This window comes from Homo sapiens, chromosome 18, assembly GCF_000001405.40.
Source record: "Homo sapiens chromosome 18, GRCh38.p14 Primary Assembly".
In the NCBI taxonomy this organism is placed as follows: Eukaryota; Metazoa; Chordata; class Mammalia; order Primates; family Hominidae; genus Homo; species Homo sapiens.
In genome coordinates, this window is record NC_000018.10 from 23,194,664 (window position 1) to 23,216,393 (window position 21,730).

At 47.3% G+C, this 21,730-nt stretch overlaps 1 protein-coding gene across 4 annotated transcripts in view, besides 1 other annotated feature; it reads left to right on the forward strand.

Moving 5' to 3' along the window:
* Positions 1 to 21,730, forward strand: part of CABLES1 (Cdk5 and Abl enzyme substrate 1) — a 125,907-nt gene that overhangs the window by 60,100 nt on the left and 44,077 nt on the right. For all 4 annotated transcript variants that reach the window (NR_023359.2, NM_001256438.1, NM_001100619.3 and 1 more), the window contains exon 4: positions 19,314 to 19,391. Coding sequence is in view for 3 of the 4 variants with exons in the window: in NM_001256438.1 (NP_001243367.1) it covers positions 19,314 to 19,391 (78 nt within the window). In the remaining variant the exon portion in view is untranslated. The remainder of the gene's footprint in view (positions 1 to 19,313; positions 19,392 to 21,730) is intronic.
* Positions 1,440 to 2,036: an enhancer, noted in NCBI's record as "NANOG-H3K27ac-H3K4me1 hESC enhancer chr18:20776067-20776663 (GRCh37/hg19 assembly coordinates)". NCBI's record gives its function as "activates a minimal SCP1, AML or CMV promoter by ChIP-STARR-seq in primed H9 embryonic stem cells {active_cell/tissue: H9 hESC(primed)}" and the evidence as "EXISTENCE:reporter gene assay evidence [ECO:0000049][PMID:30033119]".

Sequence of the window (21,730 nt, forward strand, 5' to 3'; positions counted from 1 at the left end):
CTCATGGAACCTTCCCCGACAATTTCCACCCCACTCATGCCAGAATCACCAAAAGCAATCTGTAGAGAATAATGAATGCTCTCTAAGGCGAAGTGAGATGTTTAGAACAGAAACAAACTGAGTTTTTGAGAACACATGAACGGATTTTTATAGAAACCTTTGAACAGAAAAACAGTTGAGTTTTGGGGAGTTTTATTTGTTTATCTGCTTTGTTGGTTTTGTTTTCGTTTTTCACTACCACTGTGTGCTCTGGTCAATAAATGCCCTCCCAGATATGCGCCTGAACTTAGTTTGGGTCCTGGCTTTAACTCTCTTTTTAGGAGAGTAGAATCATTACTTTGCTGGCAGATTCTTCCTCAGTGCTGATCCTGCTTCCTGGGCCAGCCAACATCTGGAGTATGTGTTTCTCCAGCTCTTCAGCTGCTCGTTTGGAAAGCACCATTAAATAAAACTGGTTGAAATTTATATGACCGTGATATTAAAACCTTCCAGACAACAGATAGATCAGAATCATTGTTGCCAGCATGCTCATGATTGGATGGCTAAGTCCATTCATCTCAGCTCCAATGGTGCATGGGGACAGAGTCCAAGACCTCTGGGGTCCCTGGTGCTGTGTAACCCTTGGGGGCAGTTGCTCCCCACTGACTTGAATGGGTGAGTTAGAGACGCCATCCAGAGCTGAGGTCCTGCTGCAGAAGACTCTCTTGTTTGATCTCCTAATTTATAGAAGACCATATGGGCCCCACTAATACTCTCTAATCCATACAAAATGAAAATTGCTAAAAAGTCTTTTAGTTAGACTCATTAAGGCCCAGCATGACTGTAAGTCGCGAGTAAAGTACCCTGTACAGCCTGTATAATAACCCACAACAATTACAGTTTTTACAGGCTCATTATCTTGAAGTTTATGCCTAGTTTTAAAGCCTTATAAGGACAGGGAACATGATTTTATAACAGTTGCAGTGGTTTCAGAATAGCAAAATTGAGCTTTCCAAATGATTTTTACATCGTCAGTATATGTTCATATTTTAAGTACAATGCTTTTAGTTTAAATTTACCAAGTTATTTGTTAAATCGAATACTCTGAATTTCTCTCTCTCACCCTTTTTTTCGCTGACACTTAAGAATTATTGTGCTTTATTTAACCATTGCTATTGTTTTCTTTTGAGGCTTTTACTTACAGAATACAGAGCTTACTCATGCCATTTTAGTGTAATTATCTACCATTGGTTTACATTTATGTTTTTGTTCATGATCTCTTTAACCGTAACATAAATGTAGAAAGCCTTTAATTTCTCAATGAAATCAATGACAAAGCCAAAGGAATGGGTCAAGGAGTAGTGTTCCCACCTCTGATGCTAGCTGGCACGGCACAAAGTCAGACAATTACCCCAGCATGGTTAGGTAGTGAGAGGATACAGTTAATAAAAGACTTGGATTAATGAGATTTCCAAAGAACATTACGGAGCCACCTTCCCCAGCACACTCTTGACCTAAGAGAACGTAAACAGCAAAGCCCGCAATTGCTGGCAGTTTTGCTGGGGAGTTTTCAGGGGGAGCCAAGAGGATTCTTAGCTTATCTGAATATCTGAGAATTGGAATTTAGGGCAGGAAAGAAAGCTCTAGGGCCTGTGTGGGAACCGCAGGCTGTAGGCTGAGGCCACGGCGGGTCGTATGCCCAGGTGAGAGCTGGTTTTCTTGTGCAAAGGGCAGATGAAAGGGCCGGCAGGAGGGGCTGGCCCTCCCACTTGAGGTTTATTAGCAAGGAGGGATTGTCCTTAGACAGATGAAAGTGAGAGCCTGGGAGGAAGCCAGGAAGAAAATACGATTTCTGAGGTGACAGAAGGAAATTGTAGTCGAGAGCTGATGAATGAGAGGACATGACCCAGCCTTTCGAGAGAGGAATGCAGAAGCTCTGCCCCACAGCATTTGGGCAGCAGGAGCAGAATCTCCTGCTGGAGGCAGCCGGGGCGTTGGGTGAGCCCAGTCCCTGAAATGACAGGTAGGAGGGGTTCTGGTCATGGTCTCAGAGGGAGGGACCCCTGTGCTGGCTTAGGGGTCTCCGATCCCCCCACCTCAGAAATGGGAGGTGAGTGTGTGGCACCTGCACGTTCCCCAAGGCCCCTGCAGGCTCCCTCCCTGCTTGCGCAGCCTCAGTCACATCTGTGCATTGGGCTGTGCCCAGCTCCTGAGTCTCCTTGGGACCCCTGATGAGCACAGCCCAGGCTCTCAGTCTGCGGGCCAGATCCACGGCTGATTTGCTCTTCTGACCCTGAAAACGCTGGCATGGAGGCTCCCGCGTCCCCAGACCTGCTGACCGTGTGATAGAGGCCCCAGTATTGAGGAGGATTTGGACTTCTCATCTCAGCAAGGACCAGAGTGCAGCTCAAGAAATGAACAGGGAGCCTCTGTTGTGATACTCACGTCTGACCTAACCAAGAGTTTCAAGCACATTTTGAGACAGAAAGGGGAAAACATGCTTTTAAAACTGAGAACCAGATATAATAAAAGACAATACTTGTGGCATTGAAAAAACAAAACAAAAAACTTAAATATACCTCGTGATCAATATCAGAGTAGCTGCTTAGAAATAAACCTTGGGGCCTGAGACAGCTCCATGTTCACCCGTGAGGAATCACTTCACCCTGTGACACTGGACCACAAATCCCAGCCGGCATGCAAAGTGGAAGTGAACGCCTTCCGCGGAAGTACGTGGTTGCGATGGAGGATGGAGTTTGCCTTCTGTAAAAACTCTCTTCATCTCTCTGGCGTCTGAATTCCGTGAGTCTGGCATTGGGACCTTCTAGAGGGCTTGGTGTGCAGATACAGTGCGGAGGAGCCAAGCTGAGGGTGCTTTGGGGTCATGCTACAAATCGTTGGGCCAGGTGGAGGCTAAGGAGGACAGTGCCCAACAGATCGCAGACCAGCCAGATGGAGCGGAGGGAATGTCAGTACCACTGCTAGAACCAGAGCGTGGCAGGAGCTCTTGGCTGGCCCTGCTGGGTGTTTCGTCTCCTAGCAGGTAGGGAAAGCCATGAGGGATGCTGCTCTCAGCAACAATTCTGCCTTAACAGAGAAGGCAGACCAGTCCTCAGGACCTGGAGGGAGGTCATGTTGTGGACTTCATAGCTGGAAAAGAACACTGGATTTTAGGAACACGGTCGCAGAAAGTTTAGACTAAGAAGTAGATTCTTCTGGGTTGGAGCATATTTCCAGAAGAGATGATAAAGTTACAAGGATGATAAGATGGTAATAGATGCCTTGATTGTTTGCTGGGTGCCAGGCTCTAAGTTTTTAACATGCATTGTTTTGGACCAGGCATGGTGGCTCATGCCTGTAATCCGATAACTTTGGGAGGCTGAGGCAAGTGGATCGCTTGAGCTCAGAAGTTCAAGACCAGCCTGGGCAGCGTGGTGAAACCCCGTCTCTACAAAAAAAATACAAAAATTAACCAGGCACGGTGGCATGCGACTGTGGTCCCAGCTATTAGGGAGGCTGAGGTGGGAGGATTGCTTGAGTCTGGGGGATGGAGGTTGCCGTGAGCCGAGATCACACCACTACACTCCAGCCTGGGTGACAGAGCAAACCCTGTCTCAAAAACAAAAACCCAAAATATAAACATGCTTTGTTTCATTAACTCAAAACTCAGTAGGTGTTTGTCAAATAAATGAGTAGAGATGCCTTTTAAATGAGTTTGTCTTCAGGACTAGATCTCGAGGAATGGAAAGAATTTAGAAATACAAATAATCCTTGAAACAGCCTGAGTAGGGCATTACTGTCTAGTGGCAGGCAGAGTAATGGCCCTCAGAGATATCCACATCCCATCCCCAGGACCTGTTACTGTGTTAGGTTACATGGCAAAGGGGAACTGAGGCGCAAATAAGCTGACCTTTAAATGGGAGTTTATCCTGGATTATTTAGGTGGCCCCAGTGTAGTTACAGAGCCCTTAAAAGCGGAAGAAGGAGGCAGGATCGTCAGTGTCAAGAGTGATGCAATAGGAGAAAGACTCCTCTGGCTTTGCTGGCTTTGAAGGTAGAGGATGGAGCCATAAACCAAGAAATGCAGGCAGCTGCTAAGAATCTGGAAAAGGCAAGAAAACCAATTCTCCCTACAGCCTCCCATGGGAACCAGCTCTGCTAACACCTCGGTTTTAGCTCCATGAGTCCCATTTCCAAGTTCTGACCTCCAGAATTGTAAGATAATACATTTGTGTTGTTTTAAGTCACTAACTTTGTGGCAGTTAGTTCTGCAACCGTAGGAAACTAAAACATTCATGATCCCGAGAGTGGGAAGTAGAATTCACATCCAGGCATCAGATTGCAAAGTTCATTGTCTCCATTGACGAGAATGTGGGAGATGAAAATCCATATGCAGTAAGATAGTGTGTCATGGTGGACTTAAAGAAAATTCCCTCTTGCATTCTGATTTTTTAAAAATCATTAGCTTAAGGCCAAGGATTAATTTTTAAAATGGCTTAAGCAAACTTACAAGAATGGGGTGAGGGAGACTAAAGTCTAGATGAACTCGATTGTTAAAAAGAAAATAAAGTTGGAACTGTCATACATTGCTGGTGGAATATAAAATGGTGCAGACACCGTGGGAAAGTTGGGTGGTTCTTCAAAAAGTTAAACATAAAATTACGATACAATTAATTGCTAGTTGTAATTAATTACCTAGCAATTAATTGCTAGTTGTATACCCAGAAGAATTGAAATAGGTATTCAGACAGATATTTATACACCAATGCAGTGTTATTCATAATAGCTAATAGGTGGAAACAACCCCAGTGTCTCAGCAGATGCATGGATAGACCATGTGCTGTATCCATACAATGGAGTAGTATTTGGCCATGAAAAGGAATCAGTACTGATACATGCTACAATGTGGATGAATCTTGAAAATAAGCTGAGTGAAATGAGCCAGTCACAAAAGGTCAAATGTCATATGACTCCATTTAATTGAAATATCCAGAATAGTCCATAGAGACAGAAGGTGGTAGGTAAGAGGTAACCAGGGGTTAGGGCAAGAGGGAATTATTGCTTAATGAGTACAGAGTTTCTATTAGGGGTGATGGAAAAGTTTTAGGAATACACAGTGATGATGGTTGCCCAACATTGTGCATGTACTTAATGACACTGAATAGCACACTGATTAGATGGCATTTTATGTTTTATATATGTGTATATATTTTTTCCCACAATAAAATAAAACACCAGTAATAGCCATAGGCTATTACTATTAAGACAATGGTCAGAAGCAGAAGGGAAAGGATGGCGAATTTCCTGGGATGATGGTACGGGTTCAGCAGATGTCAGCTGCTGGCCTGCTTTTAACTTCCTCACCAAGTAGAACTGGAAGTGCAGACTCTAAACAAAGCCACGTACCAGGCACACAGTAGGCACTCAGCAAGTGTTTGTTGAATAAACAGAGAGGCCTTTTAAGTGAATTGTAGTCATCAGGGCTAGATCCTGGAGAATAGAAAGAATTTGGAAATACAGATGATCTTTAAAGTGCCATGGAGAATGAATGAAGTTTTAAGTCTGATACCAAGCAAAGATTGCCTTACAGTGGAAAAAAGTGTGAGGGTAATGGGAGAGGGTAGATTTTTTTTTTTAGATGGAGTCTCACTCTGTCTCCCAGGCTGCAGTGCAGTGGTGTGATCTCGGCTCACTGCAAACTCCGCCTCCTAGGTTCACACCATTCTCCTGCCTCAGCCTCCCGAGTAGCTGGGACTACAGGCACCCGCCACCATGCCCAGCTAATTTTTTTATACTTTTTTAGTAGAGACGGGGTTTCACCATGTTAGCCAGGAAGGTCTCGATCTCCTGACCTTGTGATCCGCCCGCCTTGGCCTCCCAAAGTGCTGGGATTACAGGCGTGAGCCACCGTGCCCGGTCAGGAGAGGGTAGATTTTAATAATCATAGACTGGCAAGCCTAGAGCTGATGCTTAGCAGTTTGAGAACAGACGGTTTGTGTGGAGGTTGCTAGCAGTCAACGTGAGTTCACTAAGAAAATGTCATGTCCCATCAACTTCGACTCCTCATTGATGGAATAACTTAGTTAAGTGAGGAAGTGCCATGGACATTGCATATCTAGATTGCGGCAAAATGTCAGTTTATTCCTCACTATCGCATGTCCCTGTGGATAGAGCAGTGAGAAGGGCCGGGTGATTGTGAAGCTGGAGTTTCTGCAGGTGGCTGAAATTTGTCAGCTGACCATCATCAGCCTGAGGGCGAGTTTGAATAGAATAGCATGTGGTATTCCCGCCAGCGTTATCTCCTGCAGCCAGTTATCTCCTGCAGCATAGATGAGTGATTTGAGTGATTGGCGTAAAGGCCCAGAAGCCTCGTAGTCAGCCATGTGGAAAGCTAAAAGCAGGGAGAGCAGAAGCAGGAAGGAGCATTACAGATGAGAACCAAGATGCAGATACTTCATTCACTGGAAATGCTAGAGCCAGTCCACTGAGATTAAACTGAGCAAGGAGAAATGTAATTCAGGTGGACTGCTGATTATAGCGCAGGATACAGATTTTTTAGTACACATGAAAAATACCTTGGCATTTAGGACAGTGTGTTCCACCCCAGGCTCACAATGCAATGCCAATACAGAGGGAGCTAATTTAGTTTGTCCTGATGGAAGGCTAGTATCACAGAAGGCTGGTGTCGCCTTTGCACCCAACCAGGGCGGGTCCCATCTGTGGTGTTGCCATCAGCATGCATGTCGTGTCATAGAAAGCTAGATGTGTATTAGGATGGTCCCCCAGCAGTGGACTTTGTGGAAGGAGTTGTGATGAACCTTGAAAATAAGCTGAGTGAAATGAGCCAATCACGAAAGGTCAAATGTCATATGACTCCATTTATATGAAATAACCAGAATAGTCCATACAGACAGAAAGTAGATAAGAGGTTACCAGGGTTTAGGGCAAGAGGAATTATTGCTTAATGACTCTCCAGATACAAGGTGCCCAATAATAAGGCAGTTCCTTAACTACATGCACTGTAGGAACATGTGTCCTCGGTCCACCCCACACATGTTTGCTGGCACCTACTCTGTGACTATTGGGATGTATCCATGAATAAAACAGGTTACATCCCAATAGGGAGGGAAATGATACATGTGCACAGGTGAAAGATGAGATAATGTGCCATGGAGAGAGACTGAGGCAGCCAGGGTTGGGGAAGGACACTCTGGGGCAATGGGGAGACCTGACAGTGGAGGTGTGAGGGAGGTGAGGGAGGTGAGGGAGCCAGCCCTGGGGCTATCCCAGTGGGGAAGCGCATGCGCCCTGATGGAACAGCAGTCATGGAGACGCTGAGGCGGAAGGGCCGGGGTGTGTTTGAGGAACTTTAGGAAAGCCCGCATGGTGGAGGTGATTGAGAGGAAGGAAGGAAGGAAGGAAGGCGAGATGAGCTCTGATAAGTTGGTGGTGACTGCGGAGGTCCGTCTGGTTGTGAGCAAGGTGGGAACCACGCAGTGTGCTGAGCAGAGGTACGAGTGATCTGACTCGCCTTGGAACACAGTCACTCTGGGTGACCAAAAGTCAGGGGTGGGCATTGCGGGTCATTTTGGTAAACTTATCTTCCCTGTAGAAAATGAGAGGGTGGGTGGGTATTATCTTCTAAAAGAGTTCATTTGGATATGAAGTTCAAAAGCAACTCAAGATCTTTTTGAAAAGCTGGTCACAAATGTCCAAGCAAGCCTTTTGTCAAAGAAGAGAGGTGGCTGGCGGCCCAGTGCCACAGCATCTGGAACGGGCCTTTGAACCTCCTGCTGAGGAGGGCAGTTGGCAAGTGGAACCTGCTGCTTATTGTAAGAGGAGAGCCAGTCACCATGGGCTCTAACCTGCATCTTCACTGAGAACCCTACTTGTGTGCCACAGTGGAGGCTAAACAGAAGTGAAGATAAATCTCAGTTCCCAGCCATTAGATACACCCTTGAAGAAGACAGACATTTACACAGCCTCGCTCATTGCTGGCCAGGAAGGACTGACGCATCAGAAGGACAGCAGAGATTCTGAGTATAAAGACTGGAGACACTCGGCCAGGGCGTGGTGGCTCACGCCTGTAATCCCAGCACTTTGGGAGACTGAGGCAGGCAGATCATGAGGTCAGGAGATCGAGACCATCCTGGCTAACACAGTGAAACCCCATCTCTACTAAAAATACAAAAAAATTAGCCGGGCATGGTGGCGGGTGCCTGTAGTCCCAGTTACTCGGGAGGCTGAGGCAGGAGAATGGCGTGAACCCGGGAGGCGGAGCTTGCAGTGAGCCGAGATCGCACCTCTGCACTCCAGCCTGGGAGACAGAGCAAGACTCCATCAAAAAAAAAAAAAAAAGACTGGAGACACTCAGTGGCTTTTGTGACATTTATGTCTAGTGACCCTCACGGTCCTGTTAAGAAAGGACCTTTCGTCTTGGTGCTCCCAGTTCTTGAGACTCATGAACCTCTGTCTTGAAGAGCGACAGAGCCCTCGTTTCATGTGGGTGTCTCCTCCCTCTGTCACGTGCCTGCATGGGCTTTACTGGGTGTCCTTTTGAAGTCATCTGGGTGTTGAATGTTGGCATGGCATGCAGGAGATGGCTTCATGTGCCCTGGAAGTGCCGCCTCCTGGGTCTGCTTCAAGAATCATTTCATTGTGAACAGGTAGAGAAATGTCCTCAGCAGTAAGTCGACTGAGCTATCTCCTCCCTTGGGAGGAATTTTCAAAGAGATGTAAAAGGATTTGAGATGGAAGTGGATAAAGAACTGAGCCAGAGTGTTTTCTCTTTAAAGTATGAACCAATAGGATATGTTAAAAAAAAAAAAAAGAAAGAAACACGTTAAAAGACTTCAGCACCCTTTATCTGCATTTTAAAGGAAGATGGTAAAAGTACAGTGACTGAAGTCAAGCTGGAGCCTTTCCTTGTTGCACCAAAACATTTTGGAGGGAAAAAGGGGATGGGTCATAACTAAATTAAGACCTTGTTTGTGATCTCATCAGTTCCAAGCTGTCGGCCTAATTTAGTTTGAAAAACGACTTGGAGGAAGTGGCATGTTTCAAAAAATAAAACGGCTCGTTACCAGCCCCGGACTGGCCTTTTTGAAAGAAGAAAAATGTCATTGCTTTTTCTCCCTAAAATGAACCCGTCCAGTTTGATAGAAGTCAAGCATCTTCTGTGGGGCACCTTGCAACACGGACCCTTTCCTGAGCTGGCTTTTTTTCCTCTCGGAGATTTTGTTTTTGTGAAAAGGCTAGCACCTGCCATCCCCTCAGTGGCAGAAGGCGGCAGGAAGCATCTTTATCCTTGTCATCATCGGTGTTTATGATCAGTTCTTAACAAAACCCCAGTCTAGGAGGACAGGGAGTGGACAGCCTGAAGACGCCTCCAGGACTCCCCAGACCTCACTGGGGCTCCGGTTCCAGGCTCTTCCTTCACTGAGATGGTCCCCAGAGCTGCTCACAAGTCTCACCATCGCATTTCCTTGGCTTTATTCACCTGGCACTAAGTGGCGGAAGCGGGGAGAGAAGCTGGCATGCAGGGCAGTCACTCGGCACTGAGAATACTGGTGTCCAGTTCCCGGCGGTGTGCTGGGTCAGCACCACACGCACCTGGTTTTATTATTCATGCCTCTTTAAATAGCATGGAGGTGAGGCTGGCTGCTTCTGTAGTGTTGCATGAGGCTTTTGAGATAAATGATTTTCAATCAACAGAATCAATAGCAGCTGTGCTCAGTACCTCGCGCTTGTGTACGGGTTTGCGACTGAAAAGCTCACAGCCTGTGGGTGCTTGTTGCTGCTTTTCCACCAGTTTGATTTGAAGAAATAAAAGCAGTCACAGAGGAAAGGTAAAAGAGTTGGAAATTGTTTCAGATTGGACAGAACCTTCCCTTGGCGGTTGTATTCATCTGTTCTTATGCTGCTGATAAAGACCTACATGAGACTGAGCAATTCGTCTCTTCTCACGCTGCTGATTCGTCTGTTCTCACACTGCTGATTAAGACATACCTGAGACTGAGTAAAAAAAGAAAAAGAGGCTTAATGGATTCACGGTTCCATACGGCTGGGGAGGCCTCACAATCATGGCGGAAGGCAAAAAGCACATCTTACATGGCAGCAGGCAAGAGAGAATGAAAGCCAAGCAACAGGGGTTTCCCCATATAAAACCAACAGATCTCCTGAGACTTATTCACTACCATGAGAACAGTATTTGCGAAACTGTCCCCATGATTCAGTTATCTCCCATCGGGTCCCTCCCACAACATGTGGGAATTATGGGAGCTACAATTCAAGATGAGATTTGGGTGGGGACACAGCCAAACCCTATCGGCAGTTCTGTTTTAATCTTCTGCTTAGCCTGGGAGCCCAGAGGAGACATCAGTCCTTGGTCTGCACCATTGGTCTGCAACACATTGAGAAGAAAACAGTAATTATAGCTAGCAGATGACTCAGGGCTGGACCACACTTCAGGATGCAGCTACCAGGGCTGTTCTGGCTGAGCAGGAGGGGAGGGAATTCCAAAAGGACTTCATTCCTGACTTTTTTTTTTTTTTTTTTTTTTTTGAGACGGCATCTCCCTCTGTCACCCAAGCTGGAGTGCAGTGGTGTGATCTTGGCTCACTGCAACTGCAGCCTCCATCTCCTGGGTTCAAGTGATTCTCCTGCCTCAGCTTCCCGGATAGCTGGGATTATAGGTGTCTGCCACCACGCCCAGCTAATTTTTGTATTTTTAGTAGAGACAGAGTTTCACCATGTTGGCCAGGCTGGTCTTGAACTGCTCACCTCAGGTGATCTGCCCACCTCGGCCTCCCAAAGTGCTAGGATCACAGGCTTGAGCCACCATACCTGGCCGGACATTCTCACTTCTGTGACACCAAACTCTTCTTGTTTTCTCCTTACCTTAGCCCCCAAAATTCCTGTGTTGAGGTCCTAACTCCCTGTACCTCAGAATGTGAGTTTATTTGGAAACAGAGTTGTGGCAGATGTAATTCACTAAGATGAGGTTATACTGGAGTAGGACGGGCCCTAATCCAATACGACCGATATCCTTATAGAAAGAGGAAATTGAAGCCAGGTGTCGTGGCTCACATCTATAGTCCCAGCAATTCTGGATGGCCGAGGCAGGAGGATCACTTGAGCACAGGAGTTCAAGGCAGCAGTGAGCTAAGATCATGCCACTGCCCTCTAGTCTAGGTGATGGAGCAAAAGCCCCAGTCTCTTGAAGTAAGGGAAAACTGGGGCTCAGAGGCACACGGGGAGAATGCTGTGTGAAGATTGGAGTGATGCTGTCACAAGCCATGGAGCCACCAGTAGCCAGGAGACAGGCCTGGAGCAGACCCCTCCCCAGTGCCTTCAAATGGAGCATGGGCCTGCTGACACCTTGATTTTGGACTTCTGGCCCCCAGAACTGTAAGACAATACATTTCTGTGGTTTAAGCCACCCAGTTTGTGGTGCTCTGACTTCGTGAGCTTTTCTGCCCATCTGACAGCGCCTGCCTGCCTTCCTCCCTGCCCACCGTCCTCCCGCCCCGTCCCAGACCCTCCTCGCTCCTCATCCCACTCCACTCCTGTGAGTGCTCCTCCACACCATGGCTGCAATCCCCACCTTAAGCTGGGGACTCCCAAACCCCGACTTCCCCACAGGGCTCAGGAGGCCTTTCTCCAGCCAGCCTCACATTTGGACTCATGCTTCTCCCCCATGCCACCCTCAGCTACGCTGAATTATTCACAGTAATCGCTTGGTTGGGGAAAAGGTTAGTAAATGCCAAAGGAAATACCCACAGAAATCTCCTACACAGCTTAGATGTTGTGCTGGCATTTAAGGCCCATGAGTGATGGTCCATTCTGCAGCTTTTCATGCCATGCCTTTCCTTTGTGTGGGGGTCCACAGATCAGAGTCTGTCTGTGGCATCGACTTCCTTATGTCCTCATTGTTCCCACCCATTGCTGGGATGTCCACGTTGGACTTCTCAAAAGTGGCCCAAGAATCTAAGTGCAAAATCTGTTTGGATTTTTACAATTTTTTCCTAATCTTTTACAGTCTTGGTCATTCCTATTTCAACTGCAATTTTTTTCAATGACTTGCCTTGTGTGAATATTTTTTAAAGCATCCAGTATTAAACAAAAAATTTAAACAGCATTTCTGTTCATTTTCACATTCTTTAGTTTGTGCACCTTTTTTTTTTTTTTTGCGACGGGGTCTTGCTCTGTCACCCAGGAATACAGTGGCACAATCATAGCCCACTGCAGCCTTGAACTCCTGGGCTCAAGCAATCCTTCCACCTCAGCCTCTTGAGTAGCTGGGACTACAGGCGTGTGCTACCACACCCAGCTGATTTTTTTTCTTCTTAGTAGAGACAAGGTCTCATTATGTTGCCCAGGCTGGTCTCAAACTCTTGAGTTCATGTCATCTCCCACCTTGGCTTCCCAAAGTTCTGGGATTACAGATGTGAGCCACGGTGCCCAGCAGTGCACAGTCTTTAATAAACAAGTACAAATATAAATGATAATACAACTGACATAAACAGGATTAGGTCATATATAAGGGACCCTTAGTAAGTGCACAGCTCAGTGGGGGTTGGTGGCGAACAGCCTGCCAGCCCGAGTTTTGCGTGAGTCAGGGGTGTTGGTCAAAGCGTTGTACAGAGGGGAGTGGAAACGCTGGTGAGTCAGGCACGTGGAGGTCCGTGAACATTTATTATTCACTCAGTTCCTTGAATAGGCTGAATGCTCTTTGTCCCAACCTTGACTCATGCCAGTTTTCCCGCCAGCATATCTTCTCACTGTAGACTGGTTGCCACTTATCCCTGAGGTCTCAGTTATCACTTGCTCCAGGAAGCCCACCTTGCCTCCTTTAGGCTGGGTTATTCTTCCTGTGTGTTCAGTAGCGCCCCCTAGTTCCCATCAGAGAACTTACACCTCTGCATGGAGGTATCTCCCAACCACCCCTAAGCTTTGCAAGGAGGGAGCTCTTAGCTGGGCCATTCATCATCAGATCCCCAGCACCTAGTACAATGTCTGGCATGGATTAAGTGCTCAGAAAATATTTGTGTGAGGGAGGGAGGGAGGAGAGGAAGATTATGTAACTTGTTTATCAGAAATTTGCCACTCCCTAGGTTGTAGGATAAGGTGTGCCTCCTTAGCAGGTGGGGAGGCCTGCCTGCAGTATGTCCTGTGGTAGCAGTGATCTTAGTGGTCATGGAAGTGTGGTGGTGGAGGTGGCAGTCATAGTCATGAAGAGAAGACTAATGCCTCCACCAGTAACAGTACCACCATGTGGTATTTGTGGGCTACTTAGCACAGATTCTCAGATGCATCAGACCATTTAACTCATGCCCCCCAGTTCCCTGGCTCCAGATGCCCTGTGCAGCTCCACACTTTACAGGGTTAAGCCGTGCTTCCCTTCCTCCTGTTCCCACCTGTTACAATCCCATGCCTCCTCCTCCTAGGCCAGCCCCAGCACTTTCAGGCTCCTTGTTCTAGTGCCTTCTTGTCCACGGGACCCCTTCTCTTCCCAGCTCCGGCCCTGGATTAGCATCTCCTTCCAACTCCAGGCAGAAAGGAACAGATCGCTCTGTGAAGAATGTTCTTGGAGCCCCTACCAATTCTCCACTTTGCCCTTGTACTCAGATGAGGCACATCCAACAGTGAGGGGAGTTGTTCCTAAGGAGGAAAAGCGTCCCCCCAATAGCTCATGAGCATTTAAATAGAGTAAACAAGAACATTTTGTTGGTGGTGGTGGTGTTTTCGTTCAGCTCTCATTATGCCATTGCCAGCTCTTCAGAAGAGACGGAAAGGGGTCAAGTCCCCTTCTTCCAGCTTTTAATAAAGCATTGTGAGAGGAGGAAGGAACGGCTGTGGGAAAAGGGGTCAGAGTGGAGCTGGGAAGAGAATGAGTTTTCCAAATTTCATAATATTCATTTGTCTCCGGACATTGGCCTTCATGCCTTCACCGTCTCTGTGCACAGCACTCATAGTGTGGTGTGCAGAGGACCTGCTGAGCTGGGGTGCATGGCCCAGAGCCATGCCAGGGAGAGCTGTGTCCCTTTCCAGGGCTTCCCTACAAGGTGCCACAAAACTGGGTGATTAAGACAACAACAAGGAGTTCTCTCCCTGTTGTGGAGACTGGAAGCGCGGGGGCCATGTTCCCTCTGAGCCCCAGGGGAAGAATCAGCTCTCAACTCTTCCAGCTTCCAGTGGTGCTGGTGAGCCCTGGTGTCCTTGGCTTGTAGCTGCATCACTTCCATCTCTGTCTCCACTGTTAATGGCCTTCTTCCCTTCGTGCATGTGTAGGTATCTCCAAATTTCTTGCCCCTTGTAAGGACACCAGCCATTGGATTGAAGGCCCACTCTGACCCAGTAGGACCTCATCCTTACTTGATAACATCTGCAAAGACACTACAGCAGTCCCTCCTTATCCACAGTCAACCACATGGTCTGAAAATATTAGATGGAAAATTCCACAAACAATTCATAAGTGCTCAATTGCATGCCATTCTGAGTAGCATGGTGAAATCTCTCACCCTCCCACTCTGTTTGATCTGGGACATGAGTCAGCCCTTGGTCCAGCATATCTACATGGTCTCGCTACCTGCCCTATATGAAATGACTGCAAAGGAAAAAACATAGTACATACAGGCGTCAGTGCTATCCGTGGTTTCAGACATCCCCTGGGGGTTTTGGAACACATCCCTTGTGGATAAGGGGGGACACCTGTACTTACAAATAAGGCCACAACCACAGGTACTGGGGCTTAGGGTTCCAACATGTCATTTGGGGAGCACAGTTGAACCCACAACATCAGCTTTGTAGGCGTATTCTTTCTTGCTTCCTGGGCATGGAGGGAATGAACCACAGAATTTTTGCATGTGTGCCTAGTGCCTAATACAGACCCCTGGGCTGTGGACACCCCTGGGCTGTGTTTGGGCTTCACTGTATTCACCCCGCCGTTACTGCAGATGTGATTTTCTTTCCTCTGCCTCTTGGACTTGGTTGCTTGTTTTCATGTCCTTAAGAGAATATTTCTGTTGTAATGGAACATTTCACCTGTAAGAGATGAGACCTTCTCACAACCAACAGAGACTCCCCAGGTGGCTGGAAATAGAACAAGGCTCCGGTTTTTTGGCAAAAGAGGAAATACTTGAGGACCGTGGCTGGTGAGAGACATTGCCAGTGCTGGGCTGAGGGGGTAAAAACAGATTTGGTGAAAAGTGGCCCGTGGTGCTCTGTCACCTTGCGGGGGGGCGGTCCTTGTGCATCTCCTGGCTGTTCTGGACACTCAGCATCTTGTGAGCTAATTGTGGCTGTGGAAGCTTTGTGGTCTGAAGCTGCAAGATCCCTCATACCAGAAGCACTTTCCTAAGAGCATGACAATGAGGCTGTGTGAAAAAGAAAGCTGGACGGTGCTCCGTTAGCTTCCGAGCACTCATGAGGATCCCTGGAAGTTTCAGGAAGCATTGTGTACCCAAGATGCTTTGTCCATGTGGGCTATAGCCCCAGGGAATGTTTTCCTTTGCTATTTTTTTTCCTCTGGCCGATGTTCATGTGGAAATGTGACCTTTAATTCCTTAAAGATCCATCTCCCTGGAATTAATTCCTCTTCTGAAGTCATAATCTTTCACGTAATATTTTCTGGTCATCTCAACTCCAAGTAAAGTGTTGTATGTCACAGGTGGGGGAAATGATTTGGGCTTTTTGCATGCCATTTGAGTGTAAGAGAAGAGAACCGCCGTGGTTGGAGGCAAAGACATGAGGGTGGTCAATGTCTGACATTGGAAGTGGACTGTGCTTGTTGTTTATGTCATCTGATTGAATTATTTCTCAAATAATAGAGGTACCTTCCAGGAGGCAAACATCTGATTCTCTTCTTGTGTATCTCCATTACCATGGACATTTCCCTAATGTTTATAAAGAGAAAAGCTGCAAATTCACATGAACCCCACAGGTTCTAAACATAACGGTTGATCACATGGGACCTGTTATCAGAACCATACTGTTCAAGGTTTCCCAGTGTAAGAAGCCAAGAAGACGGGAGCCATCACTTGCTGCTACTTGCCTGCTGTGGTTCACGCCTGCAGTCCCTCCCAGATGCCAGAACTACTTCAGGAAACACGTATGATGTGTTCTTGGAAGCTCCATTGGCAAACCGTCTGCAGAGCCTCTGTGCGGGTCTCTGCTGTGAGTTCCTCCTCTGGCCCCTGCAGAAACTGAGGGTCTATGAAATGATTGGAGAAGGGAGGGGAAGGAGGTGTGATACTCCCTCCTCCCTCCAGCCGCTTGAGACTGGCCAACCAGGGAAGTAGCAACCCTACTGGAATTGTTGAAACAGTCCATATTCATAGTTGCTAAACTTGACCTATGCGGTAAAATAACATGTTTTTCTGGAACGAGCAGCATGTTGTCAGCCTCTCCTAGATATAGTGGTGCGGACCACCCAGAGTGAGCGCTCACTTAATAGAACAAGCAGCCCATTTACTGATAGGCACCTTGTGGTTGAAAGATGGGAAAGAAGACTTGGATTGCACTTGCATTTATATTCTCTCATTTTCTTGTTCTATTAAATACGTCCAAACAAACTTAGTGTGTGGGAAGGAAGGACACCTTAGCATGAGTAGTGAGGAAAATGCAGCATCGCTAAGCCAGTGGAGTTTGTTCAACACATTCCTGCCACTGTGTTGCAGAGGACATCGATGCCCAGTGACACATGAATGAGTTGCTCCTGGCCTTTGTCCTGGGTAAATGGCAGGGAGTGGCAGTGAGGGTGTGGAGAGCCTCTGCCCCTCCATCTGGGAAGGGGTCCAGGCTGAGCAGGGCTCCCCTGGCTCCAGCAGCTCCAAGGTCAGGGGTGTGTGATCTGTCACCCTCTTGCCCCTCCCTGCACTGGGCATGGTGACCCACAGGCCAGGCTGGAAAGCCGGCCTAGAACATCTGGATGAAGGCAGACTTATTAGTACCCAAAAAGTCCGTGGGTACCCAGTCACGCCCCCAAGGGGCAGGCTTTTCTAGTAAGGTTTAGGGAAGAGCATTCGTAGTGGTAAAGAGCTCAAGTTCCAATCTCCACCCTGCCCCACCTGCTGGTGCATCTCCTTTGGCACATCACCAACTCGACGTGCCTCATCAGTTAAAGCATTTAGAATTTGGCACGTAATCGATACTTAATAAGTATTGGCTGTTACGTCTCTGTAGGTAAATTTACAGGGGCACTGCAGCATGAGAAGCTCTGTTGCTGGGCTCCATGCAGGCAAGCCCAAGGAGCCTGGCTGGTGTTCAGCAGGGTGTGCTCATGATTCATGTAACCCCTGGCCCTTCAGGCCTTGACAGTCCACTCTGGACATGATGCTCTGTCCTTGACAGTGACCAGCGTCCGGGCCCGTGGTATCTGATGAGCAGCATCTCCCTTCAGTAGCATCTCTGTGTACATCTCATGCTACTCCGATGTAGACAGCCATGCATGGGGTCTTTCAGCTGTCCTGGCAGCACTGCCTTTCAGGTCTGAGCAGGCCTGGGTATTTAGCACAGAGGTCTGAAGAGGTTCTGAGTCCATGGACTAGGCTGGAAAACCTGAATCCTAACCCAGGCAGCTGGTCTGCAGTAAAGATGGTTCATATTTATTGAGTGTGTACTATTTGCCAGCTGCTCTTCTGAGGGTTCTCCAAGTATGGGCTCATGTACTCTTACAGCATTCCAATAAGATAGTTACTAATTTTATCCCATTTTTTAGAAGGGCAGAATGAGGCTCAGAAGTGTTAGTAAGCTGACCGAGGTCAAACAAAAGTGACAGCTGGTGTTCGAAGCTGAGTGTGTTACTTTGGTCCCATCCCATTAACCACTGGGGATATGAACTGCTATGGAATTGACACCAAAAGTGCCAAAAGCCGAAAGTGGCTTTTGATTGCATAGGATGCCTGCAGCCCTGCCCTCCCATGACGGATATTCAAGTGTTGCTGCTCTGAGGCCCACACTGCATTTCAGTGACATCTAATACCCATGCATAGATGGAGGGGCCACCACGCACTAAACCCCTGCCCGGACTCACCCTCTAGTAAAGGAGGGAGGCAAATGATCAGCAGTGTGGATCACATCCGTGCCCTCCTGGACGTCTGAATGGGGAATTGGAGACAGCACCAAAAAGGGAACAAAAAACTCCATGAAGAGGGGCAGGAAACACTCCGTGGAGGGGGTACTTCTGAGCTACGTTTGGAAGAATAAATAGGAGTTCATTGGGTGTTTCAAGGTGGGGCATATAGGCAGAAGAAATAGCATGCAAAGAACACAAGTATAAAACAGCAGGATAGGATTTTTTGTTAAGGTGGGGGTGCTGTAAGTACTTCAGCACGGGTAGAACGGTAAAATCAGGGAAATTCTGTGGGTGTTGAAACTGGAGAGACAGAAAGCAGGAGACACAGGGCCTGGTTTGCCGTGCCAGGGAACCGGACTACATCCCAGGACGATTTAATTTCATAGTGTTACAACAAAGTTGAAATCTCCAAACCCTGATGCATGTAGTAGTAGAACCATTTTCCCTGGTCTTATGGTTGTCGAAAGAAAGGATGACAAAAGTAAATAAGCTTCCCCATATGATGTGATATTGACTTTGTGCTACAAAGAATGTTGTTTTTAAATCTCTTCCACTCATTTCTCCAGTTTTTCATCAGCAGTTCCCTTTGGCAAAAGTTATTCTCAGATGCCAGGATAAGTGCTTTTGAGGGTTTTTGTTTTTGTTTTAATGTTTTTTTTTAAGTGGCTTTTGATTGCATAAGACCATCATGTAGAGCTGTTTCCAGTAGTATCTTTATAGCAGGAATGGAGGCTAAGACTGATTATGTAATTGTTCCCTTAATCTATTCTCAGAACCTAACATGTTGCCAGCAGATGAAAAACCTAATGATCATAATGGCCTCTGAGTGTCTTTCCTGCTCATAGTTTCTGGTGCTATTGCTCTCACATTGTTTACTGCAAAATAGAAATCAATGGTTTAAATGTGGCATGACTGCTCACCCAGCCCTGGCCACCCTGGACTCAGATCTGTCTGCTCCCTCTTGCATGTGCAGCCCACAGCAAGCAGGTCTTGCAGGAGAAGGGGTGCAGGTGTACTCATTAGTGACCCTTGCTGGTGTCTCACATGTTAATATTGGGATGAGGAGAGGCAGCCCACTTCTGCCACGCTGGGGTTGCATTTTGCAAGGAGAGCAGAATACCATCTGCCAGAGGAGGTGGTGGGAGCGTGCAAATACTGCTATGAATGCCATGAATGCTTAATTGCTATAGATTTTGTTTTTTAGTTTGATTCTTTGCATTTAGTGTGTTTGTTGTTTGTTCTTCTTTTTATTTTTTAGAATAGTCCTTATCAGTGGCAGAAGATCCTTCTGTAGTATATTTTCAGTGCTGCCGTATCGCGACAGTACCCAAGTCGGGTATGTATATGCATGCATGCTTTGTAGTTCTCTGGGTGAAAAGATCTCACACCAATGTACATAATGTGGCCATCCTTTCCATTTTCAAGAAGTTGCCTTGCTTTGATACTGCAAATTCAGTATTTGTACACTGGAATGATAAAAAGATGTTCCACTTTCTTTTCAGCCAGAAAGCTTCCTCGTTGTGTGTGTGCGTGTGTGTCCCATCCTATTGCCTGTTCTTTCTAAATCTACATTTTGTTACCTTATCCAATACTTGCTTTAGCAAGAACATTATGGGGCCCACCATATTCCACAGGGCCATGCCAACCTTTGGAAAAAAGGTAGGTCAAGGAAGAAATCAGAACAAACCCTGTGACCATTCCACCTCCTTGCATCTTGGGCTTGGGTTTGGAAACTGACCAGCAAGCTGGAGCTGCCACCACAGAGAAACATCAAAGCAAAAGGGTTCCAGGACCAGAGATTAGGTAACTAGCTACAGGCCAGAGGAATGCTTCCCTCTCTAGATCAACAAGCCCCTCCTTTCACTCTGAAAAAAAGTAAGTACCTGAGGGTCCGTCCTTGCAAAGCCTCCGCTCTTCATCGCCATCCCTGAACACCGTGTTCCTTCCTCCTTGTGCTCCTTTTGCCTTTTCATGCATCCGGTGTCTGTCATCAGGCTGCCACCGGTATCGAAGTCAGGACAGTTCACTGCGTAAGAAGTCAAGCATCATGGGATGTTGGCTGTGGCGTCTGGTCATTGTGCCAGCCACACCACAGACATGTGACCACTGTCCCAAGGAGGGCCGTATGGCCACTGGTGCTGATTCGCCATGTGTTCATCTTCCACCATCTCCGTGAGCTCTACCCCAGGCCTTCCTGCTCACCATGACCTCCCCTTTCCCCTGTAGATGTGCTAGACTTACGGCCTATTCGATTCACCAAGGTCCTTAGCTGCACTCTTCATTGTCAGCTCCATGGGACAGAAAACACATCTATATTCATGGAATCCTGACTCAGTCATTGATGAGATGTGTGCCTTAAGGAGCGATAATCATGGCACTGTTTGTTAGGCACACACTTTGAGCTCGTCTTTTTCATTATTTACATCCTTACAGCCAAACCTTGCAAAGTAGGTGTTCTAGAAAAAGTAGCAGCAAATCCTGCAGCTCGGAGGTTTAAGGACCATCTAGTGGCCAGTGGGCTGCCCAGAGAGATGTTTTCGGGCAGCTCTCTTTGACTGACCTACCTGCTGTGGCCCCGGGTCTGGCTACATTGGAAGAGCAGGCTCATTCCTTGACAAAATTAGCTCATACCAGCTCATAGACCTGGTGTGACCCCAGAGGCCAGTTAATTCATCTTATTACAAGTAGTAGCCGAAGGGCCCAGAATGTTTGAGTGTGACCAGCCTGGGCATACACCTCCAGGGTGTCTGTATTATCAGTAGCAGGCTCTTTGCCAGCAGGTCCTCTCTTGGCCAGAGCTTGGATGGTACTGTGACATCAGCCTCGTTTCTCTGGGTTTCCCTGGCTGACCTCTCTGATTGACACATTCTTTCCTTAGCTCCATCTCATTCATTCATTTATTGAGTGCTTGTCATGTGACCAGGTGCCCGGGACAAAGGCAGAGAAGGATGGATTGGGTTCGTGTGCCCCTGAACAGCTTAGCAGGGGAGACACATTAAAATTACACACACAATTAACTACAACTTTTTTTTTCTTTTTTTCTTTTTTTTTTTGAGACAGAGTCTTGCTCTGTCACTCAGGCTGGAGTGCAGTGGTGCGATCTCGGCTCACTGCAAGCTCCGCCTCCCGGGTTCACGCCATTCTCCTGTCTCTGCCTCCTGAGTAGCTGGGACTGCAGGCGCCTGCCACCATGCCAGGCTAAATTTTTTGTATTTTTAGTAGAGACGGGGTTTCACCATGTTAGCCAGGATGGTCTTGATCTCCTGACCTCGTGATCTGCCCGCCTCGGCCTCCCAAAGTGCTGGGATTACAGGCGTGAGCCACCACGCCCGGCCAACTACAACTTTTAATACATGCTGGAGATACCCAGTCAAGCAATCCTTGAATCTTCCTGGCTGAAGACTCATTCTGTTTCTTTAATTTGGCTTCTCCACACTTGTCTTTGAAGTGTCCATATTCGTTTTATTCCCCAAGGTCTGGGGTAGGGTAGCCCTCACTGTGGTACCCAAGTGCTCATCCCCATTTTGTAGATGACATCACTGATCCATCCTTAAGAGTTGAAATCTCAAACATCAACTTTGGGCCAGAATGGGGGTTTAATCCCCAGTCTGTTCAGCCGTAAGTTTTTCCATGACCCACACTGGCAGACAGGCAAGATAAGTTCTGTATCTGCAG